At 36.0% G+C, this 23,740-nt stretch overlaps 1 annotated feature.

The window, feature by feature from the left end:
• Positions 13,542-14,061: an enhancer, noted in NCBI's record as "OCT4-NANOG-H3K27ac-H3K4me1 hESC enhancer chr6:100729120-100729639 (GRCh37/hg19 assembly coordinates)". NCBI's record gives its function as "activates a minimal SCP1, AML or CMV promoter by ChIP-STARR-seq in primed H9 embryonic stem cells {active_cell/tissue: H9 hESC(primed)}" and the evidence as "EXISTENCE:reporter gene assay evidence [ECO:0000049][PMID:30033119]".

Raw genomic sequence — 23,740 nt, forward strand, 5'->3', positions numbered from 1 at the left:
AGGACTGTTTGTTTCAAGACTGTTTCAAGACCAAAAAAAGAACTTATGAAAACAGACATGAATTAATAAGCTATCAGTCTAAAACAACCACATTAAACTCAGATGTAAGCCACAGCATGTACTTGAGGAGATTAATTCATTCCATGACATTGACCTCCAGGCTCACTTACCACTAAAATGTGATGAGTCTGTGAAAGGATTGTTTTTCAAAAGTTCAGATTTTGTCAATGGGTTTTTAAGTAGGCTCTCTCAATTTAAAACCAGCTCTTGCTGACTGAGCTCCAAATGCACATTTGGGACAACAAGCGGAGTAAATGAGGTAAACAATGAGCTTCATCAAACCAAACACCTGATGACTCACTCCACCAGCCTTCCTTTTCCTCTCCTGACAGAGCCTCTATTATGAGTTCTCTTTAACCCAATTAGGTGCCATCAATTTTCCACTCCAATCTCCCCATAACATCCTTCTCCTCCCCAGCCAATGTTAAAAATCGCAACTAAAATACTCCCTGTGTGTTCATCCATCAGAGCCCAGTATAAAAATTCATGTGGCCCATTTACAGCATCAACTGAGTACACCTGTCTTTCAACTTAGCATACGCTTTCTAAATGTACTTGTAATGTTGCAATTTAGACAGTTCCGTTTCTGACCGATATCACTGGCAATGCAAGTTGATGCTCTGGATCTGTGAGACCTACTTCTTTGAGGGACCCAGGTTTAAATTTTTGGCAATGCTTCAAGGTGAAAACTTTTGTTCCTAATATGAAGGGGACAGGGTCTACCACTCAACCTTGCTGACATTTGCTCCTGGGAGGTCCAACAGTCTTAAACAAAAAGAAGTAGAAACATCTGGAATCTCATGGTCAGCATGTTTGTTATGTTCAACAGCAGGGGAGCCTAGACTCCACATTCAACCCACTGCTAGGGAAGCAGCAGTCAATATGGGGTGGGGGAGGAGAGACATTCCATGTTATATCTAAAACATCGTATGAAGAAAATTATAGCCAAAGCCATCGTGTTAGTTCCATCAAATTCAGAAATCAAAACTCCATTTTCAGTTTGGAAATAGAATAAAAATTATTTTCTTCTAATATTTCACTGTTAAATTTAATTTTAATCGGTATGCAATGTCCCTAAGATATCATTCACTTAACATACCTATACCCAGGCACACATCCATCCTATGTCAAATGAGATCCCATTTTGAAGGGAAATCTAAAATACACTGCAAATATAATATTTTTTATTATTATTATCATTAAGAAAAATGATGGCATTACAAATTGAAATTTTAATTCTTATTCTTCACTAACATATCACTGATCTTACCAGGACAAAATTATTACATAGGTATACTAAGCAGTCCATTGAAACAGCTAAAATGAATGGAAAAGCTATAGTGTAATCCATTGCTTTTCTTTTCTAAAATTATGAATTTTGGCATGTCCAAGTGGGTAAGCCAAAATGGGATAATTTTTTGAGAATGAAGTGGAATGAAATTCAGGAGCTTTTACTTTTCAGCCAAATGAGTTGGAAATTATCACACTACCCAAAGGCGTCTGTAGTCAATTAATTATTCAAAGTCTAACTCACTTGACATGCAAAGATGAAGTTTAAATTCTTCTGAATCTTAATAACAACACTACTTGTACCAAATGGATCCAGCCTGAAAGGAAGAGGAGAATGGCTACAGTGCAGAAGAATGTAAAGTATGAGATCTTGAAAAGCCAAGATAAACATGAAAATCGGTACAGTCATAGCAAACTGGAGAGAGTGCATTTAGGTTGGGAAAGGGCAATGTAAGAGGAAAGAAAAATAAAAATATTTAAAAAATTTTTTGTTCTGGTCTTGCTCCACCTGATATCAAAATATACTATAAACTTGCAGTAATTAGAATAGTGTAGTGCTGGTGCAAAAAAGACAAATATATCAATGGGGCAGTATGGAGAGTCCAGAAGAACATCCATGAATATTAAGTGAACTTATAAAGGTGGCATTTTAAAATGTAGGAATGAGCTTGATTTATGTAAATTATTTGAGGTAAAACTATGGTTATTTATTAAGAATAAATCAATTTAGATCCATACTTCAAAAGATACACAAAATAAATTCTAGTTAAATTGCCAAACAAAAATAAATCTAAGGATGTTCTAAAAGATAAAACATAGAAGTTTTCTATACTGTTTGGGGGTGAGAAAGATCCAAATCCTAGAAATCATAAGGAAAAAGATTGACAGATTTAATAATGTAAATATTTTAAGCTGCTGTATAGTGAAAGGTACTGTAAACAAGTGAAAAAGATAAATGACAGACTGAAAAATTTTATAATGCATTTAATCAGTAAAGGGATACTATCTCACCTGTAAAAACTCAAGGAAAAGAAAATAACCCATCAGAAAAAATGGGAACAACTTGATTAACAGTTTATAGAATAAATATCCATAACTACTAATTACACATAAAGTCACTTAATTTTACTACCAATCAGAGAATGCTGAGAGCAAATCTATTTTCTTATAAAGTTGGCAAAGAGCAAAACATTTAGTGCTTATGAGGGGATGGAGAAAGAGGCAAGGTCAGGCAATGTTTAAGTTTGTGGAAATGAGTGCAATCTTTTTGGAGGCATGTTGGCAGAGTATTTTAAAATCTTGAATGTACATGTCTTTGAAGAATTCTAATTTACCTATGGAAATACCCACAGGAATGGCCACATTCCTACATACAAGCTATTCATTGTATCATTGTTTGTAAGAGAAAAATATTTGAAGTGGCATAAATGTCCATCGACAAACTATAGTAACCAGAATAAATATATACATTTATTAAAAAGAAAAACCAATGTACTGACTTGGAAAGATGAACAAGCTACATTAAGTAGAATACATACATTTGCATAATCAGAGAAATATCAGGAAGAAGATATATCAAACTATTTCTATTGATTATCTCCAGGGATATGAGTGAGAGCAGCAGGCAGATGTTCTTTTGTTTTACACACTTCTGTTTTGTTTGATTTTGTTACTATTAGCATATGTTACTTTCATCATAAGAAAGACCAATCAAAGACTGGGTGTGGTGGCTCAGACCTTTAAACCCAGCAATTTGGGAGGCCTAGCCAGGAAGATCACTTGAAGGCCAGTTGTTGGAGACCAGTCTGAGCAACATAGCAAGACTCCCTCCATCTCTACAAAAATAAAAATAAATTAACCAGGCACAGTTGCATGTGCCTGTAATCCTAGCTACTAGGGAAGCTGAGGTGGGATAATTGCTTAAGCCCAGGAGTTTGAGGTTACAGTGAGCTATGATTGTACTACTACAGTCCAGCCTGGGCTCTTTCTGAGCAAGACCCTATCTCTCAGACAAAAAAAAAAAAAAAGAAAGAAAGAAAGAAAAAAAGAAAGAAAGAAATACTAACCAAAATTTAAAAAAAAATTTTTTTTGATATTAGGCACTACTTTAGTCATATACAGACACATTCTCACAGAAATTCAATTAACAATTTTTACTGAAGGGCTTAGGTTGCATCAGAGAACAAAACGGACATAAATCTTTGCCTTCATGAATTTACATTCTAGTGCAAAAACAAGAAGAAAAAAATAAACATAAGTAAAGTGAATTATAAATATGCAAGAAAGTAATAAGTGCTATAAAAAAAAATAGGACCCAGTGATTCATGTCTTCAATCCCAGCACTTTCGGAGGCCGAGTTGGGATACTTGTTTGTGGCCAGGAGTTCAATACTAGTCCAGATATAAAAAACGAGGCCTCGTCTCTACAAAAAATTAGCCAAGCAAGGTAGCCACAAGGTAGTACACTCCAGCCTGACAGGGTGACACTAGCTCTTGTAACCATGATTAACCACCAACATTAACCTTGTTCATTCCCTCAAAAGTATGGTATTGAAAGGGTCCATGTAATTTTAAACTTTCTTTTCCTGCAAAAGAATTTCCTTATTTTGGGGGGGAAATTTTATGAGCATTTATCTCCACTTTTAATTGTCTCCTCTGAGAAGTCGAAGTATTGGAACTTGGGCTATTTGCAAGAAGGCTCTTAGCTATTTTACACTTGAACCACTGGAAAGATAAAGTCTGTCATCAGCCACAGTATCTTCCCAGAACAGAGACATGAGGTTAACACCCATGGGCCTACCAGTTACCCTGACATGCAAGCTTGTCTGAATTCCATATAATGAATTTGAAGTGAGCTTTTAAGGTGACTGCTGCACAGGGCCTAGGTCATTTCTAGGTGAAAGTACCAAAGAGATGGAGACAGAGGCACTCACCCGTCCACAGTTACCAGATTGTGAATGTCAGTTCTTAAGCAAAAGGAAAGCGTCTGAAGACTCAGAGAAATTCATTCTGGTCAAATTTGTGGATTTTTTTTTCCATACATTTATTTTTAAAAATCATAATTCTGGGATTCTGAAGCCATCCTCACCATTTTTTAGGCTCTGGGGTGGAATGGGGGAGATGTATAAACACACGTATTTATTTGTCTGTTTTTAAAATTCAGTTTGTTTATTGTTATTTAAAAAACAAAACAGTAAACAGAAAACTGGGTGCTCATCCCAGCTCTTACCTCTAATTTCTGATATCTTAAGTAACTCTGAATCTCTGAATCTCAATTTCTCAGCAGTAATAACAAGTCAATATCCTACCTACACTGAAATCTTGATGTACAAATAAATGAGAAATCCTGGAAAAGCTCTGCAAAAACTACAATATGAATGTATAGTATTCTAATAATTAAATCTTCACCATAACACTCCACAAATACTCCCCAGTTAAATGGGCTCTTGAGGACTTGCAGGGGCAGCCAGTAACCAATCCACCTTATTTTTCTAGTTAAAAAAAAGTTTTAAAAGTTATTTTCATTTAATTATTTCATTTTTTCTTTTAATTTGAATTAGTCATAAGATCTTAAAAAAAAGTACAGTCATATACTGCATAATAACATTTTAGTCAACGATAGACCGTGTATACAGTAGTAGTCCCTTAAGATTACAATGGAGCTTAAAAAAGGATGAGTTCATGTCCTTTGTAGGGAAATGGATGAAGCTGGAAACCATCATTCTGAGCACACTATCGCAAGGACAGAAAACCAAACACCGCATGTTCTCACTCATAGGTGGGAATTGAACAATGAGAACACTTGGACACAGAGTGGGGAACATCACACACCAGGACCTGCCGTGGGGTAGGGGGAGGGGAGAGGGATAGCATTAGGAGAAATACCTAATGTAAATGACGAGTTAATGGGTGCAGCACGCTAACATGGCACATGTATACATATATAACAAAGCTGCACATTGTGCACATGTACCCTAGAACTTAAAGTATAATAAAAAAAAAAGATTATAATGGAGCCGAAAAATTCCTATCTCTTAGTGACCTCATAGCCATTATAACACTGTAGCACACTTATTGTGAGTGTAACTCACTAGAGGACGCTGGTGTAAACAAATCTACTGCCCTGACAGTCATATAAAAGTCTAGCACATACAATTTTGTGTAGTACATAATACTTGATCATAATAATAAACAACTATGTTACTAATTTATGTATTTACTATATTATCCATTTGTCATTATTTTAAAGTGTACTCCTTCTACTTGGAAAACAAAAAGAATGAACTGTAAAACAGCCTCAGGCTGGTCCTTCAGGAGATATTCCAGAAGAAGTCTTTCTTATCATAGGAGATGACAGCTCTATGTGTGTTAGTTAACTCTGAAGACCTTCCAGTGGGACAAGATGTGGAGGTAGAAGACAGTGTTATTAATGATCTTGACCCTGTGCAGGCCTAGGCTAATTGTGTGTTTTATTAAAAATAGAAAAAAGCTTATAAAATATAAAGCTTTTTATAGGATATAAAGAAAAAAATATTTTTGCACAGTTGAAATGTGTTTGGGTTTTAAGCTAAGTATTATAGGAGTCAAAAAGTTAAAAAAAATTTAAAACATTTGTAAAGAAAAATTGTTACAGTAAGCTCAGGTTAATTATTATTGAAGAAATAACATTTTTAATAAATTTAGTATAGCCTGATTGTACAGTGTTTATAAAGTCTACAGTAATGTAGAGTAAGGTCCTATGCCTTCATGTTCACTCAGCACTCACTCACTGGCTCACTCAGAGCAATTTCCAGTCCTGCAAGCTCCATTCATGGTAAGTGCCCTATACAGGTGTAACATTTTTTATATTACATTTTTATTTACATTTTGTATGTTTAGATACACAAATACTTACCATGGTGTTACAATTTTCTACAGTATTCAGTACAGTCACATGCTGTGCAGGTTTGTAGCCTAGGAGCAATAGTCTATACGCTATAGCCTAAGCGTGTAGTACGCTATACCATCTAGATTTGTGTAGGTACACTATAAGGTACACTATAATGTTTGTATGGCAAAACACCTAAGGAGGCATTTCTCAAAACATACCCACATTGTTAAGCGATGCTTGACTGTACATGGTACACAATTGTGTAATCTAATTACCTGAAGATTTTAAAAATTAACTTAAGTGCATGCAACAGAACTTTGAAAAATATAATGAAATTAGAGTCACTTTCTATTTTAAAATGAAAGATTTGATTCACATGGGGGTAACTTACTCATCTCAGTTTTCCCAGGACTTGCCTGGTCTTGAAGCTGAAGATCCTGCATTCCAGGAAGCCCATTAGCCCAGGAAAACCAGAATGGTTTATTAATACAGACATTATTAAAAAATTTCAAAGAGACATATAACTGAGTTAATAGCATTTTGGAGAGAAATAATAGTAATTTTTCTCAAAAGTTTAGAAAGAATCCAGTTTATTGAAAAACTTCTATGAATGACACAGATAATAGAACGAAAACCATGTTCTTTTCTTGGAATATTGCTTTGTGTCATAAGCAAGAACATTTTTGAAGACTGATAGGAACATGTCAAAAATTTACAGAAGCCAGGTTGAAGGGAGCTCACTGGCCAAATTTGGGACAATTTCAACACCACACATAATAATGATATTAATGGATTCTAACATATTTCACTTTTAAAAATCCATAGTTTATAGTGATGATAACAATTAAAAAAATAAGGGAATGGGGAAGTATTTGAGAATAAGAAGAAGAATGCCAACCAGTAAATTAGAAGAAATGATTTTAAATCACCAATGTATAACTACCACTGGTTCAGGCAAGGATAACTGCTGGATGCTAAAACAATTGGGTGCAAGTTTTCTGGGAAAGTCACACAAAAAAATCACCCCACATCTTACTGATTACAGAGGGAAAAGTACATTTACAATGTGGACAGACACACCTTAACCAAGTGAAAATACTTAGCACCACTAACGATGGCACAAACTGACATTTTATGCCTCCTAAGTACACATTATCTAGGTGAGGTCCTTGCCAAGATTGTTTAATTTGAATCTAATAATGAGGAAGTAGACAAATCTAGATTGTAAAAATTCTACTGAACAACTGGCATGAGCTCTTCAAAAATGTCAATGTCCTGAAAGACATTAAAAAAGAAAAGATGTGGTAGGTAGTCTCCAAGGATGGTTGCCAGTAACCCCTACCCTCTCCTCCCTATACATGCACTCTGTTCTTATCAAGAGATGAGTCCATGTCCCTCCTTGAACCTGCGCTGGCTTTTTGACCTGCTATGACCAATACAAGGCAATGGACCTTGTTTTCAGATAAGCCCTTAAGACAGTGGTCCCCAACCTTTTTGGCACAAGAGACTGGTTTCAAGGGAGACAATTTTTCCACGGGGCTGGGGCATGGTTTCAGGATGAAACTGTTCCACCTCAGATCATCAGGCATTAGATTCTCATAAGGAGCACAATGCCTAGATCCCTTGCATGCAGTTCACAATAGGGTTCATGCTCCTGTGAGAATCTAATGCCTCCAGCTGATCTGACAGGAGGTGGAGCTAAGGCGGTAATGCTTGCTCGCCTGCCGCTCACCCGCTGCTGTGTAGCCTGGTTCCTAACAGGCTAAGGAGTGATACCAGTCCACAGCCAAGGGACTTGGCTGGAGAGTGCTTGAACTTTCCAGTTGCCAGCTGCATGTAGTTAAATGAGTGACCCCAGCTGATACTACCTCAAGAAGAACTAACCCTGTCAGCCCACAGAAATGTGATAAATAAGTAAGTAAGTAAGTAAGTAAGTAAGTAAATAAATAAATAAATAGTTATAGTTTTAAGCCATCAAGTTTGGAGTTTATTTGTTACACATCCATAGCCAATGATGACAAAAACTGAACACAGCACATAGCTATAAAGAGCTTATTTGGGACAACTGGATACTTTTGAAAAGGACTTGTTATTAGATAATGTTGTTCTATCAATGTTAAATTACTTAGATGTAATAATGATATTGTGATTATGTAAGACAATATGCTTGTTCTTAGGACATGCATGCTAAGTACTTGGATATGCATGCATGCACACACACATACGCACACTTTATATATTGTATACAGACATGTGGCAAAAACAACAATTAATCCTAATAAAGGGTTATACAGTATTCACTGTACTATTCTTTCAACTTTTCTGTAGGTTTGAGATTCTTCAAAATAAAACATTTTGAAGGGAAATAAATGATTTAGAGATTTACGATACATTTTGTACTTTTAAATAGATGTTTTTATTTTAAAATTTAAATATGTTAACTTAATTATCTAAATGAATCTTGAAGACAGAATTTTTAATGACTCAGATATGCAACAATAATAGTTTGGAACAAATGGAGTACAGCTCAGCAGGATGCAGTCAAGACAGGGGGCAAGACTAGAGGTCAGGAGCGCTGGGCTGTAAATCAGCTGTGGGACTTTGGGCAAGTTACTCCCCTTCTCTGGGTATCAGTTTTCTCATCTATGAAATAAAAGCTAATTGATATCTATGGCTCTTTTTAGCTTTATGGATCTCCAAACTGGCACAGTGTCATTATTTAAGCATACATCCCCAAAGGGGAAAAAAACTACAAAAGAATTCCCCAAAATCAAGAACAAGCTATTTAAGAATAAAGAAGAGATAACAATCTTAGAACACAATTTTCCTAAACATGGGCTACCTTGGAAAAACAAAATACCAAACAGAGGCAATTGGTTGACACAACAATTTATGCTGATGGGAAATACCGCAATCAGCATGGCAATGCAGGGCATGACTCAGTGCAGGGGGGCTGAGAAACAGAATTAAACACACCCACAGAAACACCTCATTGAAATTCACCTCTCATATCCATTACTAACTAGATTCTTATGAGTGAACTTTACCTAGAAGCTTACTGACAAAATGTTCGTAAGTCAAAGTTTATTCAAAGGAATTCCATAACATTTTCCATAGTAAGCAAATAATGGCCCTAGATATGTCATATACCTGCCTTATATCAATGTAAGGTTTCATATGACAGCTTTACTTTAAAGGAAAATAAAGCATGAACTCTGGTATTTATAGGGTGCCAGATTTTATAGTAGCCACTCTCACGTGTTACTTTATTTAATCTTCACAACCTTGAGTGCTGGGTATTATTTACCTCATTTTTAATCATGAAGACACAGAAAATGAGGAAAGACTTGATAATCATCAAAACTAATTGTACCAGAGACTCTACATCCCTACTAAGGAAACATGGTAGAAATAAAAAAAGCTTTAACTGTGAGCAAAGAGAGGTTTGTTATATTTTATATATAAAAGAATTTTCACGGGATCACTAGGTGCTGGAATGTGTTCCTACAGAGGTTGCAGGATTCCTCTCTGAGGTCCTTACCAGCATATTGTCAGGAATAGGAGAGGCACAGTAAAGGCAAGGGACAATATGGGAGGCAGTGGTCAGGAGAGGAGGTTCACTGGAGTGAGTCAGGAGACCTGGATTCTCCTTGAGACTCTGTCACCTATTACCTGTGGGACCCAGAGAACGTCAGGTGACCTCACTGAACCTATTCTCATTCCTGAGAGGTGGAGTTAGGCCTTGTTCCCTTAAGCTCCCTTCCATTCTAAATGCTTTCAGTACCTCTTAGGATTGCTCCATATCTACCCATTTTTGAGCCATAGATAGTTTATTTTTTGCTTTCATAATTTTTAAGAATATGTAGGATTTACAAGCACAAATAGGCAACATAAAATAAACATTAACAATTATTTTTTAAAAAAAATTAAAATTCTAATCCCAAGGAGAGGAGATAGGGTTGACACTGTCCAGCTGGCAGTAAGCCTATGAGTGAAAAAGAGTGGTTTTGGAAGAACCACACTAAATTATTAAAATCAAGTCTGAGCCCCCACTCAGACATCCATTCCACCCATTTACCTCCTCATTTTCCAAAGACCATCCATTTCACGATGATAGTGAAGGGACAAGGGAAATATAATATCTTAAGGACAAAGAGAACTAAAGAGGAGACATCTGTATACATATTTGGGAGATGAAAGCAGAACAGAGGGGTTGCCAATGAGAAGTGAGCCAATTCACCTGGGAATCCCAGGAGGCTCAGGGACTGGAGGAGGATGAAGAGAAGTCAATTGAAAGCATGTGTATATACACAGCAGTTGGACCAGGTGCCTTCACATGCTCCACACAGCTTCAGCTATAGGGGGAAGGGGGCAGGGCCGTGGGGGGGGTGGGGCTCAACTGAGAAAGAAATTGACACAGGATCCAAGAAATAGGGGCTGTGGCATAGAGTTCGTTGTAAGAATGTTCCAGTAAGAAAGCTATATAGCAGATTTCAGGGTAACCATGCAGATTAGAGAAGGTAAAAGAAGGCCCACATGAAAGGTTTCCAGAAGAAAAGGGGGAAAATTTTATCTGATATATTTGAACAGTGTAGAAAAAAAACTGTAATAGTCATATATCAGATATGAAAGCACATATAGAAAAAAATAAGGATGGAGAAAAAGGAAACTTTACAAGTAAAAATAAATGGAGGATACATAAATGTTCAGGGCAGCATTGTTCATAATTGTCAAAGTGTAAACAACCCAAATGTCCATCAGCTGATGAATGAAAATCTATGTATATCCATAAAATGGAATATTATTTTGCAATTAAAAGGAATGAAGTACTGATATATGGTACTTGGATGAAGCTTGAAAACATTATACTAAGTGAAAGGAGCCAGACACAGAAAGCTACACATCATATGATTCCATTTTATATGAAATGTCCAGAATAGATAAATCTATAGGGATAAAATAGAAATTAGTGTATGCCTACAACCAGAATGGTTGGAAAAGGAGAGGGGGTAGTGACTGTTAATGAGTTCTAGCTTTCTTTTCAGAGCGTTAAAAATGTTCAAAAATTAGTTTAGGGTGATGGTTGCAAAACGCTATAAATATACTAAAAAACATTAAATTATACACTTCAACCACAGGAATTTTGTGTTATATCTCAATAAACCCATTACAAACAGACTAATAAATAAATGAAGGGGGAAATGAGGTCAATTTTGACTTCAAGGAAAATAAAATGGTGTTCAAGGGAGTAAAAATAATTATGCCACATTATATTAATGGATTTGCCTAGTTATCAAAATGTACATTATTGATTTAACAAAAAAAATTAGATATACTAGGAGGATGGAAGGTTGAGATAGGAAAGTTAAGAAAGGCATAAAATAATTTCTCATCTTCCATAACAAGAAATTAATAATAGATTGTGTCTAAAATGGACGGATCAAGAAATACTAGACAATATTACAATTTCCCCTACATATCTGCAGATTCAACCAACTGCAGGTGGAAAATGTAGATAGGCCTACAATGGTTGTGTCTATACTGAACATATGTAGACTTTTTTAAATCATTATTCCCCATACAATGCATTATAACCATTATTTATATTGCATAAGATACTATCTGTAATCTAGAGGTGATTTAAAGTACTATATAAAGGGGGATGTACATAGGTTATATGCAAATGCTACACCATTTTATACAAGGGACTTGAGCATCCACAGATTTTTGTATCCATATTGAGTTTGGGCCATATCGAATTGAGGCCCTGAAACCAATTCCCCATGGATGCTGAGGCAGGATTTTACTTAGAAATTAGAGGTGATAATGCTGAAGAAGCTCCAAGAATAGCAAGTGGTCGCCTGTGAAAAGCAGGAATTAGGGGAGAGTGGGGTTGGGTAGAGGTTGTAACCGTTAGTGCAAGCTTTTAAGTGCTAGCTGACCTTTTAGCTATGTACATTTATTACTTTAATAAAAATAAAAATTAAATTTAAGAAAAGTTTGGGTTTTCTACTGCCAGCTCAGCCTTTAGAGAGTTACCTTATTTGAGCAAAACATCATTCCACATTGGTCTGGAACTCTAAGCATGCAGGTATCACAATGCTGATTCCAAAACTCACTCATCTCAATTGGACAAATTCTGAAACAGGATTACTTGCTAAATCTGCCTTGAGTGGGGAATTGAAGAGGATATAATCTCTTTTGGGTTTTGAATAGAAATGTTACTATATACAGGGTATAAAATCTTACAGGTTCCACCAGTAAAGAGATTAAATGGGAAGAAACCATTTCACCATTTCACCCTTTTCATCAGGCAGCCTCAGGATAATGCTGGTAGAGCATACTTGGTCCTGCTGTTTTTTAAAATGAAAAAGTTGAGGCCAAGGAGACCTGAATGGCTTACCAAAGGTGACAAAGTAAAGCAGAGGTGGAACTCAATTGAACAACTCTAAAGACTTAAAATACTGAGCCTGAACATAGGTATTCTCCCTTAGACCCTAGACTTGGGCACCATAAGATGTATACTACATACTACCAGGCTGGAAATTGGCTGATGCTAAGCATATTTCACTCACTGCCTGCATATCTTAAAATACGTAGTAAAATATTTCCTGGATCCTCTCTTTTAATACCTGAAGTAACATATCTATATAAAATTGAGCCCATCCTAAATCTTTTTGTGTCTTCTTCATAACTCCCCTTAATTATTTTCAACTAGCACCAACTTATGTAAAACCAGATTTGTGTAAATTAGACGTATGTGTGTTGAACTCAGAACCCCCTAAAAAGTTATTAATTAATCGTTTTTAAGAAATGCTTCAGTTTGGAAAAACTTACATTAAATCAATTCCCTTGGTTCCAAGATCCTACCTAACATGTTACTATACCAATATTTCACAAAGAGTTGTACAAATGATTATTCATCATACTCTTATTATTGCAATATAAATTGTCATTGTCCACAGAATAATATTTATTCTGGGTTACCGATGAAATATACATAGATATTGATATGGATATATCAGCTACGTAGATATGAATATGGTTACAGGTATAGATAAAGCTACAGATATAGATATTACATCTCTCCCCATATGATCCCCATTTAACAGAAGAATCAAAACAGAAAGTGGTGATGGATGGGCACACATTGACTCTAACTGAGGCACTTTTAATTAGTTTCCTCCGTCCTCGGCACACAGCTAAGATTTGCATGATTTTATTTAGGGTAGCCTTGAGAGTGATGCAGAAAAATGCTCTACAGACCAAGTGTTTTGAAATGTCCTTTATCAGCAACACATGTACATTTACACTCTTAACAGCAACAACTCAATTTTAGTTCATAACTTTGTGAGCATCTGCTGTGATAACTACCTTTTTTATGTTGACGGGTGGCTGATTAAGGAGGAGGAATGTATTTTTAAGTTTGCTATCATGAAAAAAATATATACCACCCTCTCCAATGGTTTGGCACCTCTTGATTCCTCGTGGTCCTTTTCCTTCTGAGCAGTTCAATTAGCTGGAAATCTCACTCTGATGGACTGAAGCAGCTTGAGTGAACGCCCGAGCGCTCAGCCAATTAGGCTCATTTGAAGTTGCAGAATTGCCTTCTTTGGTGTTAAAACCCCATGTCAAACACCGGGTCTAAGATCATTTGTGCTCCAAAATGAGATTGACAGAGCAGCTGCAACAGGGGGCATGCCTGCTGGACGACTTAATTGTGGAGCCTGAAGGGCCATCATGAACCGGCGTGCGGAGACCGCCTCGCCACTGCTGCATTACAAATGCTCTTTATTAACAGCGATCTGTAATCAATGGGCTCAGGCTTTTTGCCAGAGCCCCCAAATCAGACAGGCGGGCCCCTGCGTCAGGGTGGGCGGAGCCACGGGGCCCAGCTATCGAGCTGGGAAGAGAAAGCTGTGTTGTCCCTGCCTGACTCTTGGGTGCGATGGTAAATCAGAAAGGGACCCTAGTAATCATTCCAGGGGCGCCCTCCTCTCACTACTGGTTGAATATTCATTAGCCCGGGTGAGCGCAGCTCACTGTACATACAATTACATCTTATTGATGTGAATGAAATAAATTGCTTTTCTTTCAACAAAGGCAATTGTTCTAAATCAGTTCAGCATTATATGTAAGAATAAATTTTGATCAGAAATGTAAAGGCTTAGAGATGTATCTCCATATGTTGATACATAACTAAAGACCCAAAAATCTGTGGGTGTTAATTTCAGAAATTAGGTTAATTTAGTTAGGTTAATTTCAGAAATCTAAAATACATTTATTTGGAAACAATCTGTAAAATCCAATGCGAATTTCCTTTCCTTTAAAAGAAATCATTTCATAATATTCTTTCTGACAGTGTGTAATGGTAAAGCACTGAACTGGGAGTCAGAGACCTATAAACTAGACCAGGCTCCACTGCCAGCAAGCTGTGTAACCTTGGGTAAATCATTTAACCTCTCTGGCCTGCCTAGTCTTATCTTGTAATATGTGAGGGACAAACGAGTTGTAACAGTCCGTGGAGTTCATTTTCTATCCATCTTCTCTTAAATGTGTTTAGGGTTATTTCTTTCAACTCCGTAGTGCAAGAAAGCCATTTATCCTACTATTAAGAGCAGAAGAAAGAAAGAGCACAGGTAGGGTGGCCAAGCCACCTTGGCTCAGCCCCCTTGCCCTATTCTCAAAGAAATATCATTTATAGATATTGTTTCAGCAAAGCCCTGTGTTAAGTGCTATGAAAGATAGGGCAGGACCAGAATCACCTAGGCCCTGCTTGCCAAGAGCTCAGTCTTCCACAGGGAAACAAACCAATAGATAAATAACTCACCAGTCCTTTTCCAGCATAGCTTTTCAGTTCACTAATAGGTCCAACAGCATGTTATCCAGTATCAATGCAAATGCACTGCACACGACATAGCTGCCAGGAGCCCCATACACACAGACCACCAGGTAAATGGAAAACCTCTGGAGTTGTACAGCATGACAGCCCTGATCCTATTAGAGCAAATCAAAGAGCATCACACTGCACTAAGTTCTAAAAAAGAAAACATAAGCTTCCTGCTCTATGATTGTAATACTCTAGGAATAAGCTCGCAGAAAGTATATAAATAAAAATGAAAAATGCATTATGTAAATAAAATATAAACTATACAAGAAATAACTGAAGACAACAATGAAGAAATTCACAAGCAATGTGCAATTATTATTAAAACTATCCCACAGTTGGAATTAAATAAAATTATACATGCAAAATTCTTAAATTGTGCTTAACTAGCAGGCTTTTAACAAATGTTATATTTCTTTCTATCCATTTTTGCAATATTTTGCACAATGAAAATATTTAATAGAAGGGAGAGATTATTTTAGTTTAGGGTACCCAAGCAAGGATTTATAGAGGAAGCAAGATTTGAACTGAATCTTGAAGGTTAGGTTAAATTTGAATAAGCAAAATATTAAATCATGATTTTAATTCAGATTCCCAGAAAGTGTGCCTGGAATGGTGAGTCATCAAGGTGGAATGCCTTGGGGACACTCAAAGGTCTGGCCATTTCTCACCACAGGATTCTAGAGCTGTGTCACCATTTACCCAGCCTCCAGCAGCCTCTGCTGGAACAGCTTATTGCCCCACCTCCCCCATTTTCTCTTTAGCCAATTCTGTGAGGTAACTCCAGTCCTTCAAGTAAGATAGGCTCTGCCAAGCTGATTCTATATTCCCAAAGCCACCTACAAGCTTTCCTCAAATTGGCCTGGCTGCTAACCCATGTTCTCACGAAGTAGATAAAAGAGTTTTGAGTTGGAGATAAGAACATCCCACCTCTTATCAAATTCCTCAGTTCAACTAGAACAAAACTGAACCACTGTAGTCCAATGGGCCACACAGTCATCCCAGTGTGAAGGCTTGAGAGAGGAATAATAAAGATAATAATAATGGTAATAATGTCCCAAGTGCTTTACATTTGAATAAAATATGAAAGTTTTAGGAACTCATTTAATCCTCTTTAAGGTCAATTCTTATCCCCATTTCACAGTTAAAGAAACTGAGGCACAGAGAGTAATCTGCCCAAGGTCATTGAGCTGCCTTCAGCCATAGAGCTGGTAAGTAGGAAAGTAAAGATCCGAACCCAGGCAGTCTGGCTCTAGTCTTAACACTTACTCCTCTTACTCTTCATGGTTGGGATCCCCAGCTCCAAATGACAGGTAGCCTATGACTTCTCCAGTTGTGGTGATTTTCATAACTAGTTAATTTTTATATTCATTACCATTTCAGGCTAGCTTCTTACTAAAACGTGACCACTAGAAACCTTACCTTTCTTCCTCCTGCCAATCTCAGCACATTCACATTGATCTCACCATATCATTCACTCTTTCACCATCCTCACCAGCAATGGCACCAAAATCCACCCAAGCCAGAATTCAAAAGTTATTCAAGATTGTTTTCCTCCCATCCACTCTACAGTCCAGTGCCAGAATGAAAATTCAAGTCTGAGCATGTTATTCCTCTGTTCAAAATTCAATGCTGTCTCTTACCTACAGAATTAAATCTAACCTTCTTGCAAAGCACACAAGATTTTGCATGGTTTGATCCCAGCTTCAAGCACAGTTTCACCTCAAATCAAACTCTGTGCTCTGGCCACAATGACTTTCCTGTAGTTCCTAGCATGTCATCTTTGTTGACAGCTCTGGCCTTTGGCTTCCCTGTCTAGTCTGCCACACCCCCACCTGCCCACTGACCCACTGACTCCAGGGTCCTTCAGGTTGTTACTGACAATTAGCCTCTCCTTAGCCTCTCTGCATGCACCAAAGTCCTTACTCCAGTAGGCAGATTAGCTGTCCTGCTACCTCTTGTGTTTGCCCTGGTTGTAGAAGCTAGAAAATTATATTTATCTTTTTCCACTAACACAATGTGTAATGTATTTTCACGTCCAACATCTAACCCAGTAGCTTTTAAGTGCTCTTACTTGACACTCAAAAGCATTCACTGAATAAATGAATTGTTACTTCTAGAACTTTAAATTGTGATAAATACCTTCATTCTGAATGTGTTTTGAGAACATAAATAGTATAGGTGACAGTGCTGTCAACAGTGAAAATACTGTGATAAAGTAAAATATTATTGCTGCATCCCTCCACTGATTATATTATAGTCTTTCCATAAAGTATTTGAAAAGAGTCTTGTTGTTCTATTCCTACATTCAGGATTCAAAAATTTGAATCCAAGAGAAAACCAGTTGTGTGGAATTTTCTTTTACTCTACATTTTCTGCAAGAAATTTATATTTAGCATAGATTTTTAAATAGGCAATGTAACCTAGAATATTTTTCTCTTAAATAATTTTCCTTCAAAAACAAGACTTCAACTCTTCAATCATTTAGAAGTCACAAATATTAATATTAAATATGTTTTTGTCATCTTGTAAGGCATCTTCATTAAGTGCTAAAATATGTGGGTCTGCTAAAGAATGAAGGTAACCATACTTCTTTGGAAATAAATACTTTTAGCCTGTAATCAGGAATATTAGCAAGTTTGTTTTGTAACATACATGCAACAATTTTGAAATGTTACATTCTGATTTCATTCACTGGTGTTAACAGCTGTGTCCCCTGTAATCTTGCACAAGCAGGAGAAATCTATGATTAGATATATATCTGTCATCTTTCTAGAACTTTCTGGAACTTTGTCCTCTCCAAGGACATGTCTTAGCTGGTCACATAGCTATTGTTCAAGTCCTAATATCTATCATTTAAAATAGTTGAATGATTGCTGTCCTTAAATAATGTCACAGTAATAAAAGAATTAGCATTGACACTTGACACTGTTCATGCTAATATTTTACGCTCTGGATTTTTCCACAGTATGAAATCAAGTTGCACATCCTGAGAGAAATGCATATGCCATATTGCCATGCACAGTAGATCAAGCTAATATAGTAAAAACCCTAAATGGAAACCTTCTAAGGAATTTTAAATACACAAGCTACATCTGCAAGATATTTAACTATTGTGCTTCCAGTAAAAATTAATGAGATTTAAATTCAGCTTGAAAGATAGAGCAATCAAAGTTTAAAGTGCATGCTAAATTTGTATCCTGAGTTGGTCCCTCAGGACTCTACACAGCCTGCTTTGAACAAAATATTTCAAGTTCAGAACAGTGGTGAGTGGGGATACAGATTCTATCTTTACTCATCTATTTGTCCATGAGTTCAACACAATTCAATATGCCATTTAATCAATGTATTAAATATCTTGGCTTATCTGTAAGGCATACATAAATGGGGAAATTAGAACACAAAGCTACAGTATGCTAGTCTATTCTCACATGGATGTTCCACACATGGAATCCGCCTGATATAAGAAAGCACTGGCAAGATAAATGCAATTGGCAAACTAGTGATTGCTTCAGTCCAATACATGACCACTTAGGTCAAGAAACTCTGCCCCTGTGGTATTATTCCATATGGCCACACACAAAAAAAACCACTTCACTATATATCCTCAGAACCCTAGAAATTAAAAGAACAATTTCTAAATGTACATACTAAATTATATTTATATCTTTTTTTAGAAATGAGAGTCAAAACTTAATTATTCCCCTTGCTACACAGCATATTCTTTATTCTTGGAGACAGCAACTCAAAACTGCTGTCATCCCTTTTGAAGAATTCTTGTAATTGCAACCAAACATTAAAGAACACAGAGGCTCACCAGCAAAGCCACAGAAATATTCAGCGGCACCATTATTTCTTTGGCAGCTTGTGTTTAATAATTTAATTCAATTCCAGTAGCGCAGCACATAACAACACCCTTTTTTTGAACCAGTAAGCTGTGTGTCTGTGACAGGGAAGTCATAATGGAGTATGAGTTTGCATGCTGAGGTGTCATTTTCATAGAACAGCATTTTCACTAGGGGCACACGATGAAAAATCAGAGTCTTCAGATCTGATATTGAACAGCCATCAGCTATTAATACATTATAATGCTATTTTTCTATCTAGGCAATTTATGATTTGTCAGAAAAACAGAGAAGTAGTTTGTACTTTCTTAAAGATTGTTAAACAGGAGCACAAGAATTTAAAAGCTACTAAAATGCCAAATAAATACCATTCTCAGGCAAAGGACTCTGAAATAATCTCGGGCACAAGTCTTTTCAGTTATTGAGGTTTTCAAGATAAGACAATGAAGCTATAGGTAGAGAAAATAAAATATGTTTTTAAAGTTATGTTTTGGTCCATTTATATTTCATATGAAAATACCTATATGCAAAGTCAAAGGTACCATGATTTGTTTATTTATTAATTTATTAAATCCAGGCCCTATATATTTTAATAACCTTATAGTAAACCACGTAATAATCACTTAACAACAAAAAATGCTTTTCAAATCTCCTCTGTATGTGACAGGCAAAGCAGAACATTAAGTGGTTGTGATTTTTTTTGTTGAAACTGTTTTTAATTCTAGCATCTGAATGAAACATACCAACCAGAAATACCTGCGCCCTGCACCCAGCCACATCTACCCCTATACCTGGCTATTTCCACAGATTTACTCACTGTTTTCTCCATTGTCAACATTTCCTGGCAGTAGACGACTGGTCTTTGCTGGCCCAAACTCTCAACCTTGCCAAGACAACAATGGCAGATGTTTCCATATTGGAGAGGCAGCTGGGGAAGGGGATGGAAGGTAGGAGAAAAAATGACTGTTCCTCCAGATGATTTGAATATATGCCATGACATTTGCTGCTGAATGATAGTATCTTTTAAAACAACTAATGGCCACTCATCTTTGTTTTGGTTTGGTTTAGTGATTTACAAATGCTTCACATCCAAATATACCACCTCTGATTTGCCAGTATGATATAATGGGTTCCCAGGTCTTTTAAAAATGCTAAGCCTGTATCTGGAAGAACTACCCATTTGTTGAGATGGTAATTGTTTTAACTTTGATGTCCTTCACTCTGCACATCTGTTTCAGCTCTTCTACCAGACACACTCACAAATTTATCATCTCTGCATGTGTTCCTACGTTAGGACTGCCTCAGTGGCAGAGTACAACAGTAAATTCCACGGATGTATTAAGTTTGTTAAGCAGGAAAGTAACTGGCTTTGTGGCCAGGATTTCTTATGACTCTGTCTCAAGACATGCTATAAAGGTTATCTGAGAAAATATTCTTGGATTCATCCATAAAGGACAGTATATATTACCTGGCCAATTCACAGTTACAGAATGATGAGGTACCAATATAGCAGTATTGTTACCTGATCTTACAACCTACAACAGCAGAAGTGGTTCTTTCTTAGTTACACAGCTTATTTTGTTGTCATCAAGCAAATTTTTCATTTCTTTCTGCCTAGAAGTCTAGGCCTTTTCTGCTATACCAAATTGCTTCCCTAAAACATTGGGTTCAAACCCTGGCCGTATTATTACTTATGTAGCCTTAGACAGCATACAGTTTTCTTATTTGTAAAATGGGCATAAAATAATACGAATCCCTCAAAGCTTTGTTGAGAATCCAGGGAACACATAACATAATAGTGTCTGATGTGCTTTATAAAACATGTTGATATGCATGACTCAGAGCTTATTTGGCTTTTATTGTATGTAGTGATATTTGAAGAGTAATAATTTAATCCACAGTAGAGATGAGTTCAGGCAATAGTAAGCTATATTTTAAAATGCTTTAGTTGTTCTTTAGAAAAGAGGATGACTTTTACAATATCTTATATAATCAAACTAGCTCTTAAATCTCAGACAGCGGGCGTTGCCCATGTAGTGGGACAGAGGCCTTTGCCTACTTTAGGCAGGAATAATGCTGGTACTAACATATTATATATTGTCTATATCAACTCCTTCTAAATACTTTTAGATGAAGTGTCTAAGAAATAAATTATGTCCATGTTGAGCTCTTAAACTTTTAGATATTTAAGGTTCCCTTTATTTCTGTTCATTTCTTACAACTATCCATGTAGGAGTAGCTCCCTCATATACCTCTCAAGCCTGAATCCCACTCTAGAAATTCAGAGTCCCATTTCTGATTCTATAGGACAATGTCCCCATAGGTCCCAGTGATTCCCCAAGTCAACATTTCCCCCCCACCAGTCCTTCCCCCAAAGACTTTTCATTAAAAAAATAATTGGATGTCTATGACATGAAACTTATATGGTATACAAGTTTGCATGCTGAGGGTCAGTCTAATAAAACAGCATTCTCACTAGGGGCATACAATGAAAAAGCAGAATCTTTGTTGTTAAAAATAATGAAAATTATTAGAAGAGTATAAGATTAAAAATTGTTCCTCCCTAATCCCACTATCCAGAGTTCATCATGTTTATCATGTTTTTCTTTTTGGATGCTTCTTATATTTTTAAGGTATTTTAAATACATATATGCATATAGAAATATTTTCTAATTTTTAAAAATTGAATGTTTTTCTATAGTTTGTATGCTTTCACTCACTATATTGTAGATATCTCTTCATGTTGGTGAATGTAGATACAGCTGTATTATTTGTATAATAGCTGAATCATAGTGTACCCAGTCTGCTACTGACAGGCATGTCAGTTGTTTTAGTGTTTTGCTGACAATGCTGAATGCTGCATGCCGTATAGACATCTCAGAACACTTACAGGGAATCATTCTGTGTGATAAATTCCTAAAACTACAATTACAGATGGAAGGATATGTGTATTTTTATCTTTACAAATACTGTCAAATTGCCTTGTAAAGAGTTTGTGCCGATTTATATTCCTTGAAACAATGTATGACCCCTTGTTTGCCCAAATACTAGCCAATACTCAGTATCATCAAGCTTTTAAACTTTTGTTTATTTGATAGAAAAAAATTAAAAGTACATTATTATTATTTTAATTTGAATGATTGCTATTGAGATTAAATACTTTTTCAATTGTTTGTAGCTTACTTATTCTTATTCAGTGACTTGCCACTTCATCTCCTTTCCCATGATCTGGGTGGCTTAATTATTTCTTCTGTATTGCTAGTAACTCTGGATTTATTATTTTTGTTAATACTCTAATTACTTGGCTAACACTTTTGTTAATTTATTATTTTTGTTAATCTGAGATACAGATTAGATAAATAGAAGCATAGATAAATTTATAGGTAGATAGATGATAGATTTATCATCTGTCATCAAATAGAGAAAGAAAAAGAAAGAGAAAGAAAGAGAGAAGGAAGAGAGGAAGAAAGAAAAGAGAGAGAGAAAAAAAGAGAGAGACAGAAAGAAATATTTTCTCACAGTTGTTTTTTAAATGTGTATGTATTGCTGCCTTTCCCATACAGAAGTTTTTAATTTTTAAGTAATAAAAACTGCCAGGTTTTTTTTATGGTTTCTAAATCTCATTTCTTACTGAGAAAAATCCTCCCCATACTAAGCTTATAAAAAATTCTACTCTGATTTTTCTAATAGTATTAGAGAAGTATTTTTTAGCTTTTTGATCTTTATTTGTTTTGCTAAAAGTTTTACTAAGTGCCTGAATACATAACCTGATTAACAAAGCACAATGTGAAATTTGCTTTTTTTGTAAATAAAATATGATTTTTGCAAATAATCTCACTAATTCCATATCACATGCAGATAGTTGTATTACATGAGATAAGGCAAATGAAAGTGCTTTATAAATAGCAAAACACAGAGGCTTTTTCTGCTAGTAACAATGTTAGTAAAATGTGCCAAATGAGACACTGTGGACTCCCAAAACAAGGAGGGAGTGAGGCGGGGAGGGTTGAAAAATTACCTGCTGGGTACATGCCTGCTATTTGAGCAATGGGTATGCTAGAAACCCAATTCGCACCCGTATGCAATATACCTGTATAAGAAACATGCACATGTAGCCTCTAAATCCAAAATAAAATAAAATTTATTTTAAAATGTGCTAAACACATGTATTGATATTTGGAAGTTCTTCTGTTAAAAAAGATTTCAAGAGTGGTTCAGGATATCTTTATAATCTGAGCTATACTGCTACCACAGAGAGACACTTTCAGCATATAATATTTAATCCTATCATATATAAATATTAATCTTCCACGTTCTTGTAATTATACCTCAGTATACACCATGCTGCGACTTACACGTTAGCAATTTATATTACCAAAATTTAACCACACTTTAGGTAACAGTAGCAGAAAACCAATTCTGATTTATTATTTAAATCAAAGTTAGAGAGTTTTATTAAGAAGCCCTTTGGTGTCAACTTAATGGAAACCTCTTCTGCAAAGACTGATTTTTACACCCATTTTACTTTGTTTTTCCCATAATATTGTAACCTGAAATGCTTAAAACAGGACTGGAGATTAAAAATCTATGGGAGGTTAAAAATCTATGGTATTTCTTGTTCTTTTTATTGAACAAACATGTACATGTATCTCCCATATGTAAAGCTTTGTGATAGTGGCTGGAGGGATACAGAGATATAACCCAATTATTCTCTCCAAAGGCAAGTGGGGAAAATACATATGTACAAATTCCTCAAGGAAGAGGTGATACGTTATGTGCAGGGTTATTT

This window comes from Homo sapiens, chromosome 6, assembly GCF_000001405.40.
Source record: "Homo sapiens chromosome 6, GRCh38.p14 Primary Assembly".
Lineage (NCBI taxonomy): Eukaryota > Metazoa > Chordata > Mammalia > Primates > Hominidae > Homo > Homo sapiens.